The sequence below is a fragment of the Homo sapiens genome, chromosome 9, assembly GCF_000001405.40.
Source record: "Homo sapiens chromosome 9, GRCh38.p14 Primary Assembly".
Taxonomy (NCBI): domain Eukaryota; kingdom Metazoa; phylum Chordata; class Mammalia; order Primates; family Hominidae; genus Homo; species Homo sapiens.
This window is the reverse complement of record NC_000009.12, coordinates 129644428-129662132: the sequence shown is the minus strand read 5'-3', so window position 1 is coordinate 129662132 and position 17705 is coordinate 129644428. Positions and strand designations below refer to the sequence as shown.

General features: G+C 52.6%; 1 annotated feature.

The window, feature by feature from the left end:
- Positions 14000-14748: an enhancer, noted in NCBI's record as "H3K27ac-H3K4me1 hESC enhancer chr9:132409664-132410412 (GRCh37/hg19 assembly coordinates)". NCBI's record gives its function as "activates a minimal SCP1, AML or CMV promoter by ChIP-STARR-seq in naive H9 embryonic stem cells {active_cell/tissue: H9 hESC(naive)}" and the evidence as "EXISTENCE:reporter gene assay evidence [ECO:0000049][PMID:30033119]".

Genomic DNA, 17705 nt, shown 5'->3' with positions numbered 1-17705 from the left:
AAAGGACACCTGGTACCTAGTGAGCATTTAATACATGTTAACAATGATTATTTTTTAAATATCTGGCTGGGCGCAGTGGCTCATGCCTGTAATCCCAGCACTTTGGGAGGCTGAGGCGGGCAGATCACCTGAGGTCAGGAGTTTGAGACCAGCCTGGCCAACATGGTGAAACCCCATCTCTACTAAAAATACAAAAAATTAGCTGGGTGTGGTGGCGGGCACCTGTAATCCCAGCTACCCAGGAGGCTGAGGCAGGAGAATTGCTTGAACCCGGGAGGCAGAGGTTGCAGTGATCCAAGATCTCGCCATTGCACTGCAGCCTGGGCAACAAGAGTGAAACTCTGTCTCAAAAAATAAATAAATACATAAATACATAAAACAAATAAAATAAACATATGTTCTGAGAAGTAGACAGGGCAAGGATGGTGAACTCGGACTGTGCAGCTGAGGGACATGGGTATGAATCTACCCACTGCCATTTACTGGCTGCGTGGCCTTGAATATGTCACTTGCCCATCCTCCCTGAGTCTGTCCCATCGTCTGTAAAATAGGAATAGTAGAGGAGCCAATCCAAAGGGTTCTTGTGGATTTACCATCATTATTGTTGCTGCCTATTCCCTTGCCCAGCCTGGGGATAAGGGCTGGGGTTGGGGCAGGGATGGAAGGGTGGGGCAAAGGGCATAGACTGCTGCACTGTGCAATAAGACAAGAAAGCAATAAGACAAGAAAAAGGGATGAACTAAAAATAATTCGAATATATCTTTGTAGCTTATCTCTATATATCTAGAGAGATGAAGAAAGTTCTATAATATACAGTCCTACATATAGTTTTATGTTTAGGATTGTATACTATAGTCCTATGTTATAAAAGTGGAAGTATGTTTACCTCCTGTTTTATAACCTGCTGAGCATGAGCGTCAGCTCTGATCCAGCCTGGGAATACACCCAAGGAAACTCCAGGGAATCCCAGGAGGGCAGAACTCAGGGACTCATCACCCCAAAGGGATATGGCTAAAAATAAATCATTTCATGATGATTTTGATAAATCTGAGAGGCTAACCCAGAAGAGGAAATGGAGGGCAAATAGGATTCCCATTCAGAACCTCTCAGATCAACTTGTGGTTACTGAGCCGGGCACTGCAGCCAGCCAGGGAGAAAGGGAAGGGAAAGAAAGAGGGCCCCTGCTCACCAGATGGGATTCGCGGAGAAGGAGCTGATTATTCACTGGTGGTTCCATTTGAGGCTAAGTTCTAGGTCTGACCTTCAGTGAAAACTCATATTTGCCCCAGTCTCAAAAGCTCACATGTTAAAAATGAAAAGGTAACTTTTCTTATTGCAAAAGTAATATGTTATGGTTGAGATTTTAGAAAGCATCATTAGAATTAAGAGAATAAAAATCACCTATAACCCATTCCTAAAAGGCCTTAACACACACACGAGGCGTTCAAGACTTTTTCCTTTTTTTTTTGAGATGGAGTTTTGCTCTTGTTGCCCAGGCTGGAGTGCAATGGCGTAATCTCGGCTCACCACAACCTCTGCCTCCCAGGTTCAAGTGATTCTCTTGCCTCAGCCTCCCGAGTAGCTGAGATTACGGGCATATACCACCATGCCCAGCTAATTTTTGTATTTTTTAGTAGAGATGGGGTTTCTCCATGTTGGTCAGGTTGGTCTTGAACTCCTGACCTCAGGTGATCCGCCCACCTCGTCTTCCCAAAGTGCTGGAATTACAGGTGTGAACCACTACGCCCGGCCACTATGGGCTTTCGTTAAGGCTCCTAAACTCTTTAGGCTTCAGTTTCCCCATTTGCTTTTTCCTTTCCTTTTCTTTCTTTCTTTCTTTGTTTTTTTTTTTTGTTTGTTTGTTTTTGTTTTTTTTGAACAGGGGGTCTCACTCTGTCTCTGTCATCCAGGCTGGAGTGCAATGGCACAATCTCGGCTTACTGCAACATCTGCCTCCCAGGTTCAAGCGATTCTCCTGCCACAGCCTCCGGAGTAGCTGAGATTACGGGCATACAGCACCACACCCAGCTAATTTTTGTACTTTTTAGTAGAGACGGCGTTTCTCCATGTTGGTCAGGCTGGTCTGGAACTCCTGACCTCAGGTGATCCGCCCACCTTGGCTTCCCAAAGTGCTGGGATTATAGGCGTGAGCCACCGCGCCTGGCCACACCGTTATTTTCTTAAGAATAAATACCTAGAATGGCCGGGCGCGGTGGCTCACGCCTGTAATCCCAGCACTTTGCGAGGCCGAGGCGGGCAGATCACAAGGTCAGGAGATCGAGACCATCCTGGCTAACACGGTGAAACCCCGTCTCTACTAAAAATACAAAAAAATTAGCCGGGCGTGGTGGCGGGCGCCTGTAGTCCCAGCTACTTGGGAGGCTGAGCCAGGAGAATGGCGTGAACCCGGGAGGCGGAGTGTGCAGTGAATCGAGGTCGCGCCACTGCGCTCCAGCCTGGGCAACAGAGCGAGACTCCATCACACACACACACACACACACACACACACACACACACACACACACACACACACAAAGAATAAATACCTAGAATAGGCTGTGGTGGGCAAATAATGACCTTCCAAAGGTGTTTATATCATAATCCCTGGGACCCATGAATGTGTTAAAGGGGAATTAAGGTAACAGATGGAATTAAGCCTGCCTATCGGCTGACTTTAACACTGGAGAATTGTTCTGGATTATCTGGCTGGGCCCCATATAGTAATCACAAGTGGAAAAGGGAGGCAGCAGAGTTGCTGTCGGAGTGATGTGATGTGAGAAAGACTCTATTGGCTGTTGCTGGCTTTGAAGATGGAGGAAGGCAGCCACAAGCCAAGGAACGCAGGTAGCCTCCAGGAGCTGGAAAAAGCAGGAAACAGAATCCAGAAGGAAATACAGCCCCGCCAGCCCCTGGATTGTAGCCCGGGACTTCTGACTCCAAGAAAGCTAAGATAATCAATTTGTGTTTTATTTATTTATTTATTTATTTTTGAGACAGAGCGAGCACTCTGTTGCCCAGGCTGGAGTGCAGTGGCACCATCTCAGCTCACTGTAACCTCCACCTCCTGGGTTCGCGCGATTCTTGTGCCTCAGCCTCCTCAGTAGCTGGGATTACAGGTGTGCGCCACCATGCCTGGCTAATTTTTGTATTTTTAGTAGAGACGGGGTTTCACCATGTTGACCAGGCTGGTCTTGAACTCCTGACCTCAAGTGATCCATCCACCTCAGCCTCCCAAAGTGCTGGGACTACAGGCTTGAGCCACCACGCCTGGCCCAATTTGTGTTTTTAAAATCATAGGTTTGTGATAAGTTGTTGTTTTGTTTTGTGTTTTTGAGACAAAGTCTCATTCCATTGCTCAGGCTGGAGTGCAGTGGTGTGATCATAGCTCACTGCAGCCTTGACTTCCCGGGCTCAGGCCATCCTCCCACCTCAGCCTCCGGAGTAGCTGGGACTAAGGTGCAGGCCACCACACCCGACTAATTTTTTGTAGGGATGGGATTTCACCACATTGCCCAGGCTGATCTCAAGCTCCTGGTCTCAAGTAATGCACCCACCTCGGCCTCCCAAAGTGCTGAGATTACAGGTGTGAGCCACCTCACCAGCCTGTGATGAGTTGTAACAACAAATAGAAAACTAACATACTGGGCTGGACGTGGTGGCTCACGCCTGTAATCTCAGCACTTTGTGAGGCTGAGGCGGGTGGATTCCCTGAGCTCAGGAGTTCGAGACCAGCCTGGGCAACATGGTGAAACCCTGTCTCTACTAAAAATACAAAAAATTAGCCAGGCGTGGCGGCATGCACCTGTAGTCCCAGCTACTCAGGAGGCTGAGGCAGGAGAATTGCTTGAACCTGGGAGGAGGAGGTTGCAGTGAGCAAGATTGCGCCACTGCACTCCAGCCTGGCGACGGAGCAAGACTCTGTCTCTAAACAGCAACAACAACAAAAAACTAACACACTGGGTCAAAGATTCTACACAGATTGAAGACTTTTGATAATATTACCACTTTGTCTTCAGAAAGGTTGTATCAACTTCTACTCCTGGCAGCTTCTCTGTATCCTTGCTAGCACAAACTACTATAATTTACTTTAAATTTCAAAAGGTATTTCTCTGTTTCAATCTGCATATCTGGAGTTATTGCTAAAGGTAAGTGTCTGATATTTAATGGCCACTTGCGTTTCTTACTTGTGAAATGTCTGTTTATATTCACTACCCATTTTATTTTATTTTATTGAGATGGAGTCTCACTCTGTTACCCAGGCTGGAAGGCAGAAGGGAAATCTCAGCTCACTGAAACCTCTACCTCCCAGGTTCAAGCGACTATTGTGTCTCAGCCTCCTGAGTAGCTGGGATTACAGGCAGACAGGGTTTCGCCGTGTTGGCCAGGCTGGTCTTGAACTCCTGACCTCAAGTGATCCATCTGCCTTGGCCTCCCAAAGTGCTGGGATTACAGGTGTGAGACACCGCACCCGGCCTCACGACTGATTTTCCACTGGAACAGTTCTCTATTTCTTACTGAGTTACATTAGTGTCATTCTTTTTTTTTTTTTTTTTTTTTTTTTTTTGAGACGGAGTCTTGCTCTGTCACCCAGGCTGGAGTGCAGTGGTGCCATCTGGGCTCGCTGCAAGCTCTGCCTCCCTGGTTCACGCCATTCTCCTGCCTCAGCATCCCAAGTAGCTGGGACTACAGGCGCCCGCCACCAAGCCCGGCTAATTTTTTATATGTTTAGTAGAGATGGGGTTTCACTGTGTTAGCCAGGATGGTCTTGATCTCCTGACCTCATGATCCGCCCACCTCGGCCTCCCAAAGTGGTGGGATTACTGGCGTGAGCCACCATGCCCGGCCTAGTGTCATTTTTAAACCATCACAACCTCTGCAAGACACTTGATCGTCAATGACTCAAGGACTAGGCCCGTTTCACAGATGGGGAAACAGAGACCAAGGACAAGATGGAATCCTGCAGCCCTTCTGGTTCAGTTGATCAGCCCCTGCAGCCACAGACCCAAGAGCCTGTTCTGAAGAAGGCAATTGAACAGGGAGGGGACACAGAGGCACACAGGCGAAGTTGTGCTCACTGCTGTGTGTCTGGGGAATCATAAACACCGCAGGCTGATGTGACTCAGACATGACTAGGTGTGACCGTGACAGACCACAGCGTTCTGTAAATATTGTGTCAGGCTGAGATTACAGTGGAGCTCCCTGCTCATCCCAGACCCCAGTCTATCCCCTGGGAAGTGGAGGCTGAGCTCGGGGGGGTAGAATATCTGGCTATCTCTCTTGGCTCGCTGCTCAACATTTCCTAGCCTTGGTTTCCTTCCTGAGGATCTCCTGACTGGGATACCCTGCTGAAGTAAGTGACTGGTGCTCAGCTCTTGGTGAGGGTTGAAATCGTACACCCCTTTGAAAAAGGTTCTGACCTACTTGCAAATTCAAAGATAAAGATGAGCTCCACAATAGCAGGGTCCCACTTAAGGAGCCTTACTGTAAGCCAGGCAATGTATTAATACTAAACCGTATTGTCTCAAAGCCTCCTTACGACTCTCATGCAAGGAAGGGAAACTGAGGCTCAGAGATCTTAAGCTCTGTGTCCCAGTAAGTTTGTCAGCCTCTCAATCATCACGCCAAGTTGTTCCATGAGAATTAAGGGCCAGGAAGTTATCTTTTTTTCCTTGAAGAATTATAGTCTCTCCTTTAAAAAAACAACAAACAAACAAACAAAAAAACAAATAATGAAACCTGGGCAACCTGCTGTATTCCCCTTTTTGCCTTGGCTACCAGGAAACCCAGAGCTAGTGTTATGATGTAATCACAGTAGCTCTATCTGTCCAGGTGGCAAGTCAGTGTATTAGCCCCCCTTTTCTTCTCCTCCCACATGGTTCTTTGTTTTCCTGTTTTTGTTTTAAATCTTTTATAGGTGCTGGCCCCACATTCGACACTCTCCAGCTGCCGGACATTGATTGGGTCACTTCACCTCTCTGGGTTTCAGTTTCCATCCTTGTGAAGCCATAGGTAATAATAGCACCTCCCTGCTAGGGTTCTGAGAATCAAATGAAAAGATCCATGTATAATAAAAAGCCTAGCAGGAGCCCATATGTTGAAAATATTCAGTGAACATCACCTATGGATGGGAAGAAAGGCTTCGAGAAAGCCAACATAGAGAGAGAACCTGTCCTAAGTGGGAAGATCCTGCTGGGTTCAAGGCCGGTCCCACTGTGGGCTTGCGTGTGACTTTAGGCAACTCACTTCCCTCTCTGAGCCTCAGCTTCCTCACTGTAAGCTGTTTGCTGTGCCCTCTTGACGCTGTAGATGAGAGTCCAAAGACTTTGTGTGTCCTTTTCACCATGAAGTCCCCAAAGCCTTACACAGGAGAAACTGCTACAGGAGGCGGGGGCAGCTGGCACATAGCAGGGCTCCCTACACGGCGAGCCCAAGAGTGAGCATCTGGTGGAATGCTGGTGGTCAGGGTCTCCACTGCCCACCTGGCAGGAAATGACCGGCACCAGGGTGGTGGACTGTACTTTGGCCAATCCTGTGGGGGCTGTTAGGTAGGTTGGAATCCTGAGGACCCAGCAGAGCAAGGACAGGCCCAGATCTGGGTGTGGAAACAAATGACAAGCTACTTTTGGGTGCCTACTTGGCGCAGGGCTCCAGGAGAGCAGGGCTGTAGGCCAGGCAACCCCCTTGCCACCCCTCAGGGACTGCAGGCTTCACAGGGAGCCCAATGGGAAACAATCCTGAATGATTCACACCACCATGATTTATTGAGCACCTACTATACACTGAGGCATCCCGGGTGTGCACCGGGCCGTGAACCCCAGTGGGCCTCTTGAGGAGATGCTACGGTCCAGCTGTGGCAGCCTGGTTACTGCAGACTGAACTCGGACAGGCTTGACCACTCTTCCAACAAAGACGTCTTCCAAACTGTGGGCTTTGGGTTTCTGGGACAGACACAGCTCCCAGGATGACCCTTGCTGGAGAACTCCCTTCAGTTACAAATGGGGAAACTGAGGCTCGGAGAAGAAAGGACTAACCGCGAATCTGGGACCCAACTCCCACTACTGCTCTCCAAATTGTCTCCTGGCAAACTTTCCCCACTCTCCCCTGTCGTTCCTTCCCTGGGAGTCGTGGGAAGGATGCCTGAGGCGAGGGGCACAGGCTGAGGCCTGGGGGGCCCTGAGACTTCCCAGAGCCTTCTGGAGCCCTCAGGGCCTGCCTTCCTCCCTCCCCGGGCCCTACATCTTGCTGCGATTCCCCTGCGGTGCGGTGGAGCTGTGTGAGGCTGTCCACTGCACACAGCGTGGGGGGGCATGTGAGGATGGGGAGCACAGTGGCTGACGACCAGGCGGGGCTGAGGATTGGGACCAGGCTCTCAGCTCACGGGCTTAATTGGGGATATAATAGTTATTATTATTTATAACTTACTCTTGAACCCGCGCCAGGAGGGTGTATTCACAGCCTGCACGATCCAGGCAGGCGTTAAATAATTAAACCAAGGGCCTAATCGGCGGCGAAACTCCCCGTGGGCTCCCACTTCCTTAGTCCGCTGATTGCTGATATTTTGGGAGTGAAATATGATCATGTTTACGATCAAAGAGATCAGAGTTCCAAAGGAAAGAAACGGAAAAAAGGAGGAGGGGGTGCGGACTCTTCCAGTTTTCTTTTCCTCTGAGTTAGTGGTCTGGTAAAGTTTCTTTAAACGTGCAAAGATTTACACACCTTTCTGCAGGCAGCCTTAAATTACTCCCCGATCCCTCACACATTTCCCTGAGCAGTGCAGGAACAGTAAGTCATTGAGAAAGGAGCAGGCCTCCCCGTAATCACTCCGGCAGCCTTTGAGAAAGAGAATGTCTAATGACTTTTTTTGAAGTCGAGGTCAAGGTTTTTTAAATAAAACAATCTGTATTAATGCAATTTCCTTTTTAGCTGTAGCATTGGATTTTTTTTTTTCTTTTTGGAAATAGGAGGCAGGGCAGGGAAGGACATCATTTTTCTCTCACCAGACAACGCGTCCCTAATGAGATACATTTATTTAAAAATCTGTATATCATCACCCTGTCAGGGCCTCCAAGCGGGACCCTGAGCCTCCCCGTTGGTTTGTTTCAGATTAGCGGGACGTGTGAATGGCCCTGCAGTCTGGCTTGCTCTCCCGGCCACTGGTCTTCCCTCTCCCTCTCCCTCCCGGGGAGTTCAGTGCAGGTAGCCGTATTTTATGCCCCACCATACCCTGCCCCATCAAATCACCCAGATCTCAGTACAGCAAATTTGGCCTCGGATCCTGGCCTCGGGTCCTCCACCCTCCCACCCACACCCCACCTGCCTCCCGCTGCTCAGCCCTGAATCCTCAGATTCCTGGAGGCCTCCCTCCTTTGCCCCAGGAGGAAATAGCGCCCAGTGGTGATGCCAGTGACTCCGCCCCACACAGATCTGAGTTCGAGTCCCAGCTCTGCCTCTCACCAGCCCACTCACTGAGCCAGCCCCCAGTTTCCTCAAACCTTCGTGTCTTGACAACAAGCCTGGGGTCCACTAAACAGCAGCGGCCACCATCCGGGACTGGGGAGGGGCACTGGGGATAAAGCTGTGATCAGATGGCCCAGAAATGCAGGGAAGTCACTGAGCCAATATTGATAGCGAATGTAGGAGCAAGAAGATCAGGGACCATAAGGGAGGGGGAGAGAGGGGTATCAGGGAGGGCTTCCCTGAGGAAGAGGCATTCAGCCCACTGTTTTTGTTTGTTTGTTTGTTTTTTGAGACAGAGTCTCACTCTGTCACCCAGACTAAAATGCAGTGGCACAATCTTGGCTCACTGCAACCTCCACCTCCCAGGTTCAAGTGATTCTTGTGCTTCAGCCTCCCAAGTAGCTGGGATTACAGACATGCACCACCATGCCCAACTAATTTTTGTATTTTTAGTAGAGACGGGGTTTCACCATGTTGGCCAGGTTGGTCTCGAACTCCCGACATCAGGTGAGCCGTCCACCTTGGCCTCCCAAAGTGCTGGAATTACAGGCGTCAGCCACTGCATTCGGCCTGTTTTTCCTTTTCTTTTCTTTCTTTTCTTTTTTTTTTTTTTTTTTTTGAGACAGGGTCTCACTCAGTTACCCAGACTGGAGTGCAGCGGTGCAATCACAGCTCACTGCAACCTCAATCTCCCGGGCTCAAGCGATCCTCCCACCGCAGCCTCCCTAGTGGCTGGGACTACAGACACACACCACCACACCTGGCTAATTTTTTTATTTTTTATTTTTAGTAGAGATGAGGTCTTGCTGTGTTGCTCAGGCTGGTCTCCAACTCCTAAGCTCAAGCAATTCTCCCATCTCAGCCTCCCAAAGTGCTGGGATTACAGGTGTGAGCCACCGTGCCCAGCTGAGCCCACTCTTGCAGGTGGAGCTGCATTCAGTAGGTGTAGGAGGGCCAGGTCTAGATGTGGCCAGGCAGGAGACCTAGCACGTGCAAAGGATCCTCAGAGCACCTGGCTTTACCTGCTCCCGGGGGCTGCAACTCACAGTAGCATTTTTGGTATCACTGTGCCTCACTTTCCCCTGCATGCCCAAGAGCTCAAGTTTTATATATATATATATATAAAATATATAAATTTCTATTTTATATAAAAATTATATATATAAATTTTATATAAAAATATATAAGTATATATATTTACATATATATATATATATATTTTTTTTTTTTTTTTTTTTTTGAGACAGAATCTCACTCTGTGGCCCAGGCTGGAGTGCAGTGGCGCGATCTCGGCTCACTGCAGGCTCCACCTCCCGGGTTCACGCCATTCTCCTGCCTCAGCCTCCGGAGTAGCTGGGACTACAGGCATCCGCCACCACGCCCGGCCTATATATATTTTTTGAGACAGAATCTCACTCTGTCGCCCAGTCTGGAGTGCAGTGGCATGATCTTGGCTCACTGCAACCTCTGCCTCCCGGGTTCAAGTGATTCTCTTGCCTCAGCCTCCCGAATAGCTGGGACTACAGGTGCGCACCACCATGACCCGCTAATTTTTGTTGTTGTAGTAGAGACAGGGTTTCACCATGTTGGCCAGGCTGGTCTCGAACTCCTGACCTCAGGTGATCTGCCTGCCTCAGCCCCCCAAAGTGCTGGGATTACAGGCATGAGCCACCACGCCCGGCCTCAAGTTATATTTTTAAACTCTGTATGCACCAAGGTTATGGGACATCCATAGGTGCCTGGCCATCTGTAGACCTGGCCCCCCTACATCTCCTGAATGCGGCTGCACCTGCAAGAATGGGCTCGGCTGGGCACGGTGGCTCACGCCTGTAATCCCAGTACTTTGGGAGGCCGAGGTAGGAGGATTGCTTGAGCTTAGGAGTTGGAGACCAGCCTGAGCAACACAGCAAGACCTCATCTCTACTAAAAATGTACCAAGCTCTTTCCTCTGCTCACCCTGGGCTGGACACTGGGGACCAGGTAGAGTGGCCTCTGCCCTTGGGGCCACAGCCAAGAGAGGAAGACTGAAGTCGGCCGTTCCACTCACGCAGTGGAGGAGAATGCAGGTGCCACGGCAGAAGCAGGATTGGACATCAGTCACCCTGGCAGGATGGGAGTAGGGAAGGGGCCCCTGGCTGTCTGGGGACGAGGGCTCCTCTAGGGGGAAGTCTCTGCAGGGGCTGAAGCCAGCTTTGAAGCAGGTAGCAAGGGGCTGGAGTTGGGTTTTAGGAGCCGGTGTTGAGTCTTAGAGGGGAGAGGGTTACCCCAGAGGTTGCTTGCCCAGGCCAGAGGCCATGTTCTCCGCCTGCAGGCATGGCTGAAAGGCCTTTGGGAGACTCGTGTGGGCCTGGGCGCTCTGGAACCTGGGAGGAACCAGTAAGCTTGGAGACCGGGGACAGATGGCTCATGTCATATGCTGGAAACTGTCTGAAAGAGGGGACCAGGCCAGTGTCAGATAGCTCGGCCTTGGGGGTCAAGGTGAGAAAACCATCCGCCATTCCCAGGCCATGAACACCCACCCTGGACCAGCCCGGTGCTGGGACCTGGGGCCGGGAGGGTTCCTCCTCCAGAGGGGCAGAGAGAGAGGCCCCATTGCCTCTGCCCCCACCTCCTCTCTCAGTTCACTCCTGCCCAGGTGGAGGGCCCACTTCAACCACCACTGACTGCCCAGGCGAGGCCACCTGGCCCTGGCTCCCGCTAGCACTCGGCACCTAGCACGCCCCAGGCTTGCTGGGAGCTTCAGGCCCAACAACCACACTGCTGCCTCCCTAGAGCCTAGCCCAGTGCTTGGCACCAGCAAGCACAAACTCCACAGCTGCCAAATGACATCATCACAACCCAAGTGACCCATGCAGCATGTCTAGACAGTACCCAGACAGACTGAGGACCAGATCCCGGCACTGCCACTCCTGTACCTTGTCATCTTGGGCTAGTCACATCCCCTGTCATCTGCAAACAGGAATAATGACAGTATCTATGACCTAGGTGTGTCGGGAGGGTTCACCCCACGAGGCATGTACCAAGCGACTTAGGGGCTTGATCAATGCTGGCCACCCAAGGGATGCTTGGCCTGGTATGTTGGTTTCTGCAATTCTCTGGGACTTGACTTCCTTTGTTTGTCTGTAAAATGGGTCTTTAACCCTTGTCATCGCTTACACCTTCATAACCACATCCCAAAGCCCAGCCTGGCCCACCTCCCCCTCCTTCCTGCCTCTGCCTCTCTCGGTCCTTCTTGATCGGTTTTTCTGTCTCTCTCTGTGTCCATCACGATTTCACTGTCTTCATTTTTTGGTTTCTGTCTGCCTTGTCTCTCTCCCTCTCAATCTGCCTGGAATTCTGTCCCAGAGGAACCAATACTCCAAGGCTCGACTACATTCCCTTTTACAGCAGTGAGATGGGAAGAGGGAGAGAGAGAGAAAGAGAAGGGGGAAAAAAAATCAAAGCCCACATATTGGTTCCAGATGTGGCCCTCTCTCTCAGCCCTCTCCAGCAATTTAATTAAATTCCCCCAGACAGCCAGGAGGGTTTCTTAATGATCAAATTTCCCCAGCTCTCCTCCTCGAACAGCCCTTGTTCGGGTTCACTCCGTCTCCCTGACGGATGGCCGACCGGATTCTTCCTGCCGTCGGCGCTGCCAAGCTGGGCCAGTGGGGGTGGAGTGGGGGGCTTCCCAGGGAGCACAAAGGACTCTGGCCCCCTGCCTCTGCCCTTGCCACTTCCAAAGGGGTCTGAGTGCTCCTGAACCCACCCTGGGTCAGACTGCAGTGGCTGGAGGGGCCCCAGCGGCCCCCACCCCAGAGCTCTGACCTTGGGGCTGGCCTGCCAGCGACTGATGCCAAGTGGGTGCCAGCCAGGGTGAGATGGGGGAATCTTTGGGATCAGGACTCTGGGCCCATTTACCAGCCAGAGCTGGGGCAGGCTCAGACCTACTGGGCGCCCTCCCCGGCCTCCACTGGGCAGAATGAGCAAGGTTTAGAGAAGGCGAGCCCGAGCTGGGATCTCCTCGCCGGGCTTGGGAGAAGCGGGGGCAGGCTGACCCGAGTTTAGTAGGCGAGGATCTGCCCCCGAGACAGGCCGAGGTGAAGAAGCCTTTCTTGGAAGGCTTCCTCCATGGGAAGAATCGCCATGGGCAGAATCCTTGCCTGCTAGGCTCTCAGTAGGACCCTTGACTTCTGGGGTAGAAAGAAATTTAGGGGAACCCTGGGCCCACCCCTTCGTGTGCAGATGGGCAGTGAGGCTGAGAGAGGCCCAGGCCAAAGTCCAGGCCCCAGCCTCCCTCCAGACGCAGGGCGAGACCCCCGGGGCGCTCAGCACCTTCCCACCCTGCTCTGGGCTGCTGACTTACCTCACCTGGGAGAGGCGGGGACCAGGCAGGGCCTTCCATGTGGGCATGGGGGAACAGTAGAGAAAGAGGGGTCCTGCGGCATCCCGTCCCAGGCTCTGGGCTGCCCACCTGGGGGCTTCACTGGGGCCTGGCCCCACCCTTACCTGGCTGTCACAGGCCCCGCCCTTGGACCAAGCACCAGGAACCACCTGGCAGTGTCTGTGCCGGAGTAGGGGGCTCTGGCCGGCAGGGAGGGCTTCCTGGTGGGGGCGGGTAGGGAGGGGAAAGCAAGCCCGGCCATCAGAAGCACAGAGGTCTCTGGGGCTTGTCGCCCTGGGGGTTGGGGCCCCCGAAATGCTCCTTGGTGCTTCTTAGGACAGTAAACAGAATAAGGGAGGGGACAGAAAAAGCCCTTCGCTGGCCCGGCCACTGTCCTGCCACACGGCCCCACCGCACGGCCCCTGCTCCAGCCCCTGCTACCTCAGTTTCTCCCCTGAGCAGACAGACTCTTAGGCCTCTGGGAACCCAGGAATCCAGGCCCTGCCCCTCCAGCCTGAGGACTGTGGCAGGAACAGGCAGGCTGGGCCTCCTGCAGGGACACTCTTGGGTCATGAGGGTCGGGGGTCAGGGTGGGGTCAGGGTGTGGGGGGAGGAGGAAAGGAAAGGAGCGGGGAGCCAGGCAGGAGAAGAAGGGCAGAAGGGGGGGAAGCGGAGGGCGGCACTTCCATGACCACACTTCAGAAATATGCCGGGCCCTCGTCTGTCCCGGTGCCCTGGGGACTTGCCCGGGGGCTGAAGTTGGAGGCTCTGAAATGGTCCTTGTGGTGATGTGTATGTTTCTAAATATCTCACTTTATGGAAATGCCGCCAATCAAAAAAAGAGAAGAAATAAAAGGCAGGGGTTCCCTAATTCTCCCCCTCCAGGGCCTTCTAAGGGACAGGCCTGGCAGCCGACAGCCCCTCCTGGGGAGACAGCAGGCACCGTGGAGGGCGAAGGTGCTGGGATGGGGCCAGACCACTCCTCCCTGGAGCTGCCCAGCCTGGCACGTGTGTGTGAGAGTGGTGTATGTGTGTGGTGTGAGTGGCGTATGTGTGAGTAGTGTGTGTTACAGTGGTGTATGAGTGGTGTATGTTGGTGTGTGTATGGGTGAGTGGTGTGTAAGTGGTATGTGAGTGTGAGTGGTGCGTATGAGTGAGTGGTGTGTGTGCTAGTGTGCATGAGTGATGTGTGTGCGTGAGTGGTTGTGTGTGAGTGGTGTGTGTGTGAGTGGTGTGTGTGTGAGTGGTGTGTGTGTGAGTGGTGTGTATGTGTGTGAGTGGTGTGTGTGTGTGAGTGGTGTGTGTGTGAGTGGTGTGTATGTGTGTGAGTGGCGTGTGTGAGTGGCGTGTGTGAGTGGTGTGTGTGAGTGGTGTGTGTGTGTGGTGCGTGTGAGCGTGTGTGAGTGTATTTCAGTGGTGTGTGTGTGTGGTGTGTGGGTGGTGTGTGTGGTGCGTGTGAGCGTGTGTGCGTGTATTTGAGTGGTGTGTGTGTGAGTGGTGTGTGGGGTGCATGTGAGCGTGTGGGAGTGTATTTGAGTGGTGTGTGTGCAAGTGTGAGTACGCGCTTTGTGGGGCTCCAGTAGGGGTTGGAAGCCAGGCCCTGGGTGTGAAGCCCCCTCCCTGGGCCCCTCACTCACTGACCTTGGCTTGGTCAGCCATCTCTCCTAGACTCTGACACCAGAGTCCTGGGGTCACTTCCTGGGGTGTCGCGATGAACTGATGAGACTTGTTGAGCTTCTTACTGAATGCATGGGAGTAGGACACACTCGAGCAGAGACCACAGTTGCTGCCGATTGGCCATTCCTACAGCCAGCCTGGGCGGGTGGGCGGGTGGACTCACGGCCACTCGGGAGGAAAGTGAGCGAAGCGCTAGTCCAGGTTGAGGGGACCTCAAGGGTGAGTGGCCTGCGTGCTGAGGAGGAGGCTGTCAGTCCATGGGCTGGGAGAGGGAGAAGGCTTTATGGACAGGCCTGGACCCCCTGCTGGTGTTCAGGGCCTGCCTTCAACCCCAGGAGGGGTGTCAGGGCCTGATTCTCTGCCCTGGGCTTACATAATGTTTTATTAATAAGTCTCAGGTAAGACACACTCATTGGAGAAAAAAGAGGAAATATATCCACATACAAAGAAGAGTAAAAATTCCCAGATCCCAACACCCAAAACAACCACCATTAACATCTCAGCATGGGGCGTTCAAGAATGATTCCTGCACACACACACACACACACACGTGCACACACACATTTTCCTAAATGGGACCATATGGTACCTGCTATTCTGTAATGGGCTCTGTTGGATTGTTATAGAGAAGGACCCCACGTGTTACCAGCTACCATCATTGTTGGACCGCAGGAGAGGCTGAGTGTCTATCCCTGTTTTTTGACCATTTTTCATCCTTCGTGACTTGCCTGTGCATGTCCTTTGCCCATGTTTTTATTGGTGTTTTTGCCTTCTTGTTGTTGATTTTTAGCAGCTCTTTATATATTAAGGTCATCCCCCTCTGTACATTGACGAGTCGGAGTGACTCCCAAACTCCCCGAGGACTAGGAGGCAGGGACAGGGCTGAGCTCTGGGTCCTTGTCCCCAGGACCCCCATCCTGCTGAAGATCTCTGGAGGTGGGTGGCAGGAAGGGGCTGGGCTGGCCAGGCGGTGAGTGGCAGTGACAAGGAAAAGAGAGAGAAGCGGAGAGCTGGAACCAGGGGCTCTGAGTGACAGAGCCCTAATGGGAGGCAGATGGAGGAAACAAGTCTGCCCTTGCTGACAGGAGGGAGGTCAGGGGGCACAAAGCCCTCTAAAGTTAGGAGCCTGGGCGGCGGGCAGGCAGCAGGGCCAGCCCCACAGGGTGGTGCCCCAGGGCTGTGAGAGGGCGGGGGTTAGCTCCCCCTCCTGCATGTCCAGACTCGTGAGCCCAGAGCTGGAGGAGCTGAGGACACTCGAGTCTCGGAGGCAGGAAGCGTGGAAAAGTTGCACCGACCGGGGCTGGAGGCCCAACCTCACAGTGCAGCCTGGGACAAGCGCCCAAACCTCTCTGAGCCCGTTTCTTTGTAAAATGGGGTAATAATATCACCTACTTAACAGGATTTAGGGAGATCAGTGCACCAAACATTCAGCATATCTAGTGCCTGGCATGTACAAGGGTCTCCGTAAATACAAGTGGGCTCGTGTTGTTGTTATTATAATGGCCCCCTCCTCACTCCTTCTCTGTCGGCGGAGCCCACCAGCCACGTCAAGGAGTTCGTCATTGGCTCCAAGACTGTCAGAGCTGGGAGGGCCCTCAGGTTATAGGTGAGGAAACTGAGGCCCAGAGACCAGAAGGGCCATGCCTAGGGTCACTCGTGACAGTGGGTTTATGTGTGCTCCCCAAAAAGATATGTTCCAGTCCTAGTCCTGGTGCCTGGAACGTGACCTCGTTCAGAAAAAGGGGTTTTGCAGATGTAATCAAATTAAGATGTGGCCATAATGGATTTGGGTGCGCCCTATAAATCCAGTGACCCATGCCCATTTAGAAAGGAGGGGGAAGGCTGGGCACGGTGGCTCACGCCTATAATCCCAGCACTTTGGGAGACAGAGGCGGGCGGATGACAAGGTCAAGAGATCGAGACCATCCTGGCCAACATGGTGAAACCCTGTCTCTACTAAAAATACAAAAAAAAATTAGCTGAGGGTGGTGGCACACGCGCACCACTGCACTCCAGCCTGGCGACAGTGCGAGACTCTGTCTCAAAACACAAAACAAAAAAGAAAAAGAAAAAGAAGGGAGCGGGGGATTTGGACAGTGGCATAGACAGCAGGAAGAAGGCTGTGTGGAGACAGAGGAAGGTGGACACTGGGGTGCTGCTGTCCCAAGCCGAGGTACCCCTGTGGTCACCAGGAGTGGGAGAGGCAAGAAAGGGACCTTCTCTGGAGTCTTTGGAGGGAGCGTGGCCCTGCCCACACCTTGAATTTGACCTTTCCGCCTCCAGAACTGTAAAGGAGTGAATTTCTGTTGTTTTAAGCCATCAGGTCTGCAGCACCTTGTTATAGCAGCCCTAGGGCAAAAGCAGGGCTCAGACGAAGTCAGCCCACCCAGCTCCACCGGGACCCCACGGGACTGCACCTCCCGCAGTTACTCACCATGCGCCCTTGGGTAAGTCAGGCCTCCGTCTCCTGAGGGTTGAGGGCCAAAGGCCATCACATAGGTGAGGAGACCGAGGCCTGACTCAACACGGGCATGGTGTCACGTGATCAAATGTGTTGTGTGATCAAACGAGAGAGGGGCTGTGAAGACCTGGGTCGCCTGAGAGCGGCTGTACCGTTCAGGGCCTCGCGATCCATTGAGGGGGACCCTTCAAGCAGGGGCAGACACTTCCAAACGCTCAGAGTCATGCCCAGGCAGGTGCACCCAGGGCAAGCACCCCATCTGGATGCAAATCGCTGTCTGGTAAGAATCTGGGCCCTTCTGATTTTTACAAGGCAAGTTGGAAAATCTCCATTTCCCTGGGAGCAAAATGTCCCGATTTCCCTCAGGAAGATACTTCTTTCCCTCAGCAAGAATCAAGGCAGACATGTGTGGGGAGCCGTGGGCCCTCGTAGTCTGCAGTTGCTTCTGGGACGCCCAAGCTAGTGTTGCCTTAAAGGGTCTTGAACCCAGCTGCCCACCCCCACCCCTCCTTCCTACTCCTTTAGGTAATGGAAGAGGAAGCAAACTGAGGCACTCTGAATGCCTGGCGTCGGAGGTGGTTTTCCGAGAGCCTGTCATTGGATCTGACAACAGCTTTAACAACCAGAGCCAGCAGTTACCAGCCGCTGCTGCCACACCCTCAACCTTGCCGGTTGAGGCTCGTTGCTTTGGGTTTTCTTGTACAGTTTGTTTTGCACATGGTAGAGGGCCTTACTCTGCCCATTTAA